The sequence below is a fragment of the Homo sapiens genome, chromosome 8, assembly GCF_000001405.40.
Source record: "Homo sapiens chromosome 8, GRCh38.p14 Primary Assembly".
NCBI lineage: Eukaryota > Metazoa > Chordata > Mammalia > Primates > Hominidae > Homo > Homo sapiens.
Window position 1 is genome coordinate 18979876 of NC_000008.11, and position 8625 is coordinate 18988500.

The 8625-nt window shown below is 38.5% G+C and overlaps 1 protein-coding gene across 19 annotated transcripts in view; it reads right to left on the reverse strand.

Annotated features, from left to right (window-relative positions):
• Positions 1–8625, reverse strand: part of PSD3 (pleckstrin and Sec7 domain containing 3) — a 557503-nt gene that overhangs the window by 452573 nt on the left and 96305 nt on the right. Inside the window, exon 2 of one of the 19 annotated variants that reach the window (NR_182062.1) lies at positions 1891–3956. The exons of the other annotated variants lie outside the window; for them this stretch is intronic. The gene's annotated coding sequence lies outside the window, so the exon portion shown is untranslated. Of the gene's footprint in view, positions 1–1890; positions 3957–8625 lie in introns of those variants that run through there. 19 annotated transcript variants of the gene reach the window in all.

The following is an 8625-nucleotide window of genomic DNA, read 5'->3' on the forward strand; positions in this document are numbered from 1 at the left end:
TCTTCTCTGCTGTGGAAACAAACCTCCAAATCATTGAAAGGTGGAACAGTATCCTTCTACAGAAATCAGATTTAATCTTGACAGAATTAAATAAGAATCACTCATTATACACTGATCTATGTTTTGGCAATTATACACTGATCTATGTTTTAGCAGATATTATGGAAAACTCAAAGGTGTAACAGGTTCTCTGCCCTGCAAAGAGTTTACAATCTCATATGGAAATCAAATGTACACACATGATAAATGCTACTTAAAGACCTACTGTCTGCCAAACACTATGGAAGGCACGAGGTATGTGAGTGAGACTCCACCTCTGCCAAAAAGTTCCTCACAAGCTGGTGAGAAAGCCAGACCTGAGTAACCCAGACAGTGCTAATCTCCCAGGATCACCTCCGCTGCACTTAGAGTGGGAAGTCCAGTGGCTTTCCTAAGAATGTGGTGGCTTCCAGGGTAGACAGACAGGGAAGGAGATGGAGGTAGCTTATCTTATGGTCACCTCTTGTCATTTCTCATCTCCTGGAGGTATTCCCTCTCTGTCAAGTGAAAGTAGCACCTAGTTGGGTTGGTTGGTTGGTTCGTTGGTTGGTTGGTTGGTTGGGTTTTATCAGTCTGACAATCTTTTATCTTTTAATTGGTACATTTAGAACATACACATTTAATATAATTACAAATACATTAGGGTTTACATCTACCATCTTATTTGTGCTATTCATCTCATCTATTTTATCCTTCTCTCCTTTCTTGCCTCTTTTTGACTTAGTTTTGTTTTTATTTTTCCCTCTCTCCCTCCACACACGCTCAAGTTTAGATGCTATATGCTGCTTTTGGGCTTTCATTATCCTAGAAATTACAATAAACATATCCAACTGATCAAAGTGTAAAGTTAATCAGTTATTTGACGCTTCTGCCTGATCTTAAAACACCTGAATACTATTTACACCCTTCACCATCCCCACTCCTAATTCGGAACACTGAGTGCTTCCGCCACAGTGAACCTCTTTCAGTTCCCTGAACTCTTTTCACAGCTTCTGATCGCTGGTCTTCGCACTTAGCTACTCCCCCAACTGGAATACCACCCTCTTCTCCTCACACCCTCTTCCCAACCTGGCTAAATCTTTTACACCTCTCAGGTCCTAGTTTCAGAGTTATTTGCACCCTGGCTCCCCTGTCCCTGCTCCCCTCCCCCGTGAGTTTCCCTTTGTTATGTCTGTCTTCCCTCCTAGACATTAAGTTAAAACAGTCAATGACTGCTGGGCACCTAGGCTGTAACATAAGGGTCCACCAGGACACTGCTAGCCCTCAGCACCACATAATGGATACTCAATAAATATTTGTTGAATGAACAGATGAATGAAATATAGTGGTTTCAAGACATGTAAAAATCAGGAAAGACGCAAGAAAAGTCACAGGTCACCCCCCAACACACATACAAAAAAAGTCCACTCATTATTGAAGCAGAAAGACTACTATGGTGATTTAAAGAGTGCAGGCTCCAGTGCCAGACTAAATGAATTGAAGCCCAGATTCTATCACTTACTAGTGGGTGACCTTGGATAAGGTACTCAACATCCCTGTGTCTTTGGAAAATAGAGATAACCATAAAACAAACTCATCAGGTTGTTATAAGGAACAAGTAAGCTAGCACTTGAAAAGTATTTAGAAGACTTCCTGTTAAGATTCTGTATATACAGGCATACTCTGGAGATTGTGTGGGTTCAATTCCAGACCACAACAATACAGTGAATATCACAATAAAGCAAACATCACAATAAAGTGAATCACTCCAGTGATTCACTGTGAATATAAAAGTTGTTGACACTATACTGCAGTCTATTAACTGTGGAAGAGCATTCTGTCTAAAAAGAAAACAATGTCAATGTACACATCTTGATTAAAAAATACTTTATTGCTAAAAAAAATACTGACAATCATCTGAGGCTTCAGTAAGTTGTAATCTTTTTGCTGATGGAAGGTCTTTCCTCATTACTGATGGCTGCTGACTGATCAGGGTGGTAGCTGCTGAAGGCTGAGGTGGCTGTGGCAACTTAAAAAATAAGACAAAAATGAAGTTTGTCACATCAATGGTCTCTTAAGACAAAAGATTTCTCTGTAGCATACAATGTTGTTTGACAGCATCTTACCCACAGTAGAGCTTCTTTCAAATCTGAAGTCAATCCTCTCAAACCCTACACTACTTTATCAACTAAGTTTATGGAATATTCTAAATCCTTTGTTATCATCTGAACAATGTTCACAGCATCTTCACCAGGAGTAAATCCCATCTCAAGAAACCACTTTGTTTGTTCATTCATAAGAAGCTACTCCTCATCCACTAATGGTGCATCCTGGAATTGTAGTAATTCAGTCATATCATCAGGCTCCATTTTTAATTCTAGTTCTCTTGCTATTTCCATCAAATCTGTAGCTACTTTCTCCACTGCAGTCTTGAACTCACCCCTAAAGTTATCCATGAGGGTTGGAATCAACTTCTTCTAAACTCCTGTTCATGTTAGTATTTTGATGTCCTCCAATGAATCACAAATGTTCTTAATGGCATCTAGAATGGTGAATTCTTTTCAGAAGGCTTTCAATTGACTTTGCCCACATCCATCAGATAAATTACTATCTATAGCAGCTACAGACTTATGAAATATATTTCTTAAATAATAAGACTCAAAAGTCAAAATTACTCCTTGAGTCATTGGTTGCAGAATGAATGCTGAGTTAACAGGCATGAAAACAACATACATCTCCTTGTAGATTTACATAAGCGCTCTTGGGTGACTAGGTGCATGGCTGAAGAGCAGTGATATTCTGAAATAAATATTCTTCTAAGCAGCAGGCCTCAACAGTTGGCTTCAAATATTCAGTAAACCATGCTGCTAATAGACGTCCTGTCATACAGGCTTGGTAGTTACATTTATAGAGCACAAGTAGAGTAGATCTAGCATAATTCTGAAGGGCCCTAGGATTTTTAGAATGGTAAATGAGCAATGGCTTCAACTTCAAGTCACCAGCTGCATTAGCCCCTAACAAGAGTCAGCCTGTCTTTTGAAGCTTTGAAGCCAGGCATTGACTTCTCTGTAGCTATGTAAGTTCCAGACGGCATCTTTTCCCAATAGAAGGCTGTTTTGTCTACATTGAAACTGTGATGTTTAGCATAGCCTCAGTCATCAATGGTCTTAGCTAGATCTTCTGAATAACTTGATGCAGCTTCTACATGAGCAATTGCTGCTTCACCTTTATGTTATAAAGATGGCCTCCTTCCTTAAACCTTATGAACCAATGTCTGCTAGCTTCCAATTTTTCTTCTGCAGCTTCCTTACCTCTACCTCTCTCAGCCAAGAATTGGAGGCTTGCTCTGAATTAGGTTTTGTTTTACGTGAATGTTGTAGTGATTTGATCTTCCATTCAGATGACTCAGATTTGCTCCATATCAGCAATAAGGCTTCTGCTTTCTTATCTTTCACATATTCACTGAAGAAGCACTTTGAATTTCCTTCCAGAACTTTTCTTTTATATCCACAACTTGGCTAACTGTTGGTGCAAGAGACCTAGCTTTTGGCCTGGCTTCAACACGCCCTTCTCACTAAGCTTAATCATTTATTTGATTTCAAGTGAAAAACATGCAACTGTTCCTTCCACGTGAACACTTAGAGGCCATTATATAGTTATGAATTGGATTAATTTCATATTGTTGTGTCTCAGGGAATAGCGGGACAGGGGAAGGACCAGTCGTGGAGCAGCCAAAACATACGACAATTTTTAAGTTCTCCATCTTACATGGACACAGTTCTTGGTGTCCCAAAGCAATTACAAGAGTAACATCAAAAATCACTGACTGGTGCAGTGGCTCATGCCTGTAATCCTACCATTTTGGGACGCTGAGGCAAGAGGATTGCTTGAGTCCAGGAGCTGGAGACTAGCCAGGGCAACATAGCCAGACGCCGTCTCTACAAAAAAAAAAATGTTTTAACCGGCTGGATATGGTGGCATGTGCTGTAGTCCCAGCTACTAAGGAGGCTGAGACAGGAGGATCATCTGAGCCCAAAAAAGTTCAAGATTGCAGTGAAATATGATTGTGCTACCATACTCCAGCCTGGGCAACAAAGTGAGACACTATCTCATTATTTAAAAAAAAAAAAAAAAAATCACTGATCGCAGATCATAACAATAGGTATAATAATAATAATGAGAAAGTTTAAAATATCGCAAGAATTACAAAAAGGTGACAGAGAGACACAAAGTGAGCACAGTGGGAAAATGATGCTGAAAGACTTGCTCCACACAAAGTTGCCACAACCCTTCAATTAAAATAATAATAATAATAATAATAATAATATCTACAAAGCACAATAAAACAAGCTATGCCTACATGTTTACAATAGAGCTGACTCTCTAGTTGTTAAACCACATAACTGAACTACACAATTCTCAACAGATCCTTACTTAAAGCCCAGGTATTCATACATTAAAATGATCCTAACATAATGTCTTTACATTATGGTACAAATTTATAGCCCATGAAGACAACATCACTGCATTAAAATATTTGAAAACAATCAACCAGAATTATTTTAAAAAGTTAAACAGTATTAAGTGCATACATTAAAAATACCAAAAAAATGGGGCAGTAATACATTTTTTAAAGAATGCTCTCAAAAAATGTTATCAAAGAAACTATTTGAGCATTTGAAGGAACAACTTTCAGTTTTTAAAATGAGGCCACAATATAATTTTGTGAATTTTGTAGTCTTACCAAATTGTATTATAATTCCTTAATTGTAGCTACAAAAATGTTGAGGTTTTTAAATTTTTTCACATTTGAAATTTTCCAAATAATAAAAGTAAATATTCACTATTATCCCATAAGACAGACAAAAAAGATCATACTTCTGCCAACCTGACTGTGGGGTAGTACGGCCAAGCTGCAGTGCACAAGGCAAAGACCTTGGAGGCTGTGAAGGCAGCCAGTTTCCCCTCATAGATCCACCAACTTAACCAGCTCAATGTCACCAGGAAATGGTCCTAACCCTGACCCATCACGCTTCGCTTTTTTGTTTTGGCGGTGGGGGGACAGAGTCTCACTCTGTTGCCCAGGCTGGAGTACGGTAGCGTCATCTTGGATCACTACAACCTCTGCCCTCCAGGTTCAAGCGATTCTCGTGTCTCAGTCTCCGGAGTAGCTGGGATTGCAGGTGCCCGCCACCACACCCGGCTAATTTTTATATTTTTAGTGGAGATGGGGTTTCGCCATGTTGGCCAGGTTGGTCTCGAATTCCTGAGCTCAAATGATCTGCCCGCCTTGACCTCCCAAAGTGCTGGGATTACAGGCGTGAGTCACCGCGCCCGGTCATCCTTTGCTTTTATAGAGTGGAGGGCTGCCCTGTCTTTACCTGGTTCTGGAACTGAAACACTATACCTCCTGTAAAATTATGAGCCTTTGGAGTCTCATTAAAATGAACAAACACAAGCACAGAGGTCTGCATATAGAATATCTGGGGCCCTAAATTCCCTAATACTTAAGAATACAATCACTGTCCTATTGTGTTTCTTGCTTATTTATCCTAATAGGAAGGCACCAGGAATTCCCTAGTTAAGAGATGATATAAAACATATTTTGAATGAAAGCTGCAATAAAGCTACAAACTATGATTTGGGGTCTTTGCTTAAGTCTGAGATACTTGGGGACTTTATCATGAAACATTAGTTTACTTGTCTTTTGTCAAGAGTAATTGCCTAAACTTGAATAGAAATATGAGCTTTTTCAGTTAAACATACTCCTAAAAATAGCATTTTCTTCTGGGATTTGACTACTAAAAGCAGGCATTTCAATGAAGTCAATGGCACTTATCAGTAAAAAATCATTTTTTAAGTTGTAATGAGATCTTTTCTTTCTAAATATTAAAATATTAGAATGATGTATTTCATTTTCCTAGAAGCCAAATAAATATTTCCTATTTAGTTTGGACATTCATGGATACTTTTTTTAATGGATACTTTCTAACTCTAAATTAATAGTATTATATTATAATTACATTTTATTATTATAGTTTGCTGTCAATATCCTACCTCACTTTGTTACTCAAAGTTCTATTTAAAGACCAAGATTACAGTTGTATCTAAAATTCCTAGGTCACAAAATGTAGGGTAGCACAGCAGTAGAACCTTAAAATACACATTGGATAATGATGTAACAAAACCTCATTAACTTAGATTAATTGTGCAAGGTCAAAATGAATTTAGGAGTTTTATCTTAAAAAGAAAATAATTTTGATGCTTTCACATACAGAGAATAACTGAAATTGGATTAACAGTAGAGGTCCCTGGAGAAACTGCATTAATGAATAGATATAAATGACTGTCATTAGAACTTCAGTTATCAAGTTTTCAAAGGCACATAAATTGTTTTCGCCCCTTGGTGTTAAGTTTTTCACTTGTTTTTGTTAGTGCTTTTATTTTGCCTTTACTGTCAAATACTGGGTACCTCATATGAGTTGCACTGTGTTTCTGATTTAATTCCCAGAACACGCTTGCAAGGTTGGTATTATTACCCCATTTTGTATCCGAAAGATACACTCAAGGATCAGGGAATTCAGTAAGGTCTCTCTGGCTTTTTCTGCTTCACTACACATTCTCAGGAAGTCCATAAGCTCTTTCTTGAGATAAAATGGTCTCAGCAAAAAAAAAAAAAAAGTTCAATGTTTGAAAAAAAAAATCTCACAAGCATTTTATTAATGGTGCTGTATTTCCTTATCCGGTCAGCAGATATATTACTATGGCTCTTTTTGAAGAGTTAGACACTTCACTTATCGCTGAATGCCCCTAAAGTATTCTTTAAACCCAACGGGCTAACGTAGCCATTTGCAAACTGGGTACAAAAGAGAGTACTCCATTAAGGGAAGACCAAGATGAGGCAGAACAAAGAGCCAGCAGTGGGCAGATAAGGAACTTCTTCCCACGCCTAATCCATGAGGACTTGAGGAAAAAAATCAACTCACTTTTCTGGACCTCACACACCGTGGGCCTACTTTAACCCATTTATGCTTAGTGTTCCATTAATGGAACGCTAAGCTTGTGGGAGTTATGTATATCCTACTGCTCAAGGTCATCGCCAAGGTCTGATCTTTTCACAAAAAAAATTTGCAACCTCCGGCACAAATGGGTTAATGGTGCCGTCACAGGGAGGCGAACAACATACTATGCATAATAGTGCTTTGCAAACTATACCTAATAATTTGGTAAAACATTTTCACTCCACCCTTTTGTTTTTAAAAGATATACAACACTCACGGTATTATTTATTATGTTTTAGAAGAAAATTTTTTGAGGTTTAGCTTAAATTTTAAAACTACCAGGAAATAAATGAGATTTATTTTAGAGAAATTTATTTTCTTTTTTATTTTTTTTTTTATATATATTTTTTTAAGACGGAGTCTCGCACTTTCGCCCAGGCTAGAGTGCAGTGGCGCAATCTCGGCTCACTGCAAGCTCTGCCTTCCAGGCTCACGCCATTCTCCTGCCTCAGCCTCCCAAGTAGCTGGAACTACAGGCACCCGCCACCACGCCTGGCTAATTTTTTGTATTTTTAGTAGAGATGGGGTTTCACTGTGTTAGCCAAGATGGTCTTGATCTCCTGACCTCGTGATCCACCCGCCTCGGCCTCCCAAAAATCTCTGCCTGTAATCCCAGTACTTTGAAAGGACAAGGCAGAGGATCATTTGAAGCCAGGAGTTCAAGACCACCCTGGGCAACACAGTGAAACCCCATCTCTACAGATAATTTTTAAAAGTCAGCCAGGTGTGGTGGCACGTGCTATAGTCCTAGCTACATAGGAGGCTGAGGTGAGAGAATCACCTGAGCCCAAGAGGCAGCAGTGAGCCGTGACTGCATCACTGCACTCCGGCCTAGGCAACAGAGCAAGACCCTGTCTCAAAAAAAAAGAAAAAGAAAGAAAATAATAAATCCGTTTTGCAAAATGAGCTGCAATTACATAATCTAAATCTGAGTGTACACAAAAAATACAAAACAAGGGCCTAGGCTTTAAGTTTTTCATTCTTTCAACAAATATTTACATAGTACCTACCATAAGCCAAGCACCATGCTAGCAATGGGGCAATAACACCGAACAAAACAAAGCCCTTAATTGCTAGATATACTTGAATCCCTTGCATTTAATAGTGCTTGGCACAAAGTAAGCACCAATGAATGTTAGAAAAAATAAATAAATAAATACATATATATATATACACATGAATAAGTTAGGTGTATAAAGGAGACCAGAAAGCAGCCTGTCACTAGAAAAGCTGCTTGAATTGAATTCTGAATACATAAAACATGTGAGTCCTTTGCAAAGATTTGACTAAAAGTGCCCTGATAAATCTGCTCCACTAGAATCGTGTAGTAAAGGGAATGAAAGGAAAAGCACGAAAGCCCTATTCCCAAACTGCGAATAAGACACTCCTGCCTCTCTGTTATCTTGGAAATAAAACTGTAACAGATGAAAATGAGACAAACAAATCTCTAATTTAAAAAATAAATAAGCCCGCAAGTGGAAAACCTGCTTTTCATCAATCAAATAAATCAGGGAAGGCGGCATTTCTAGGCCATTGCCCTTGGGTC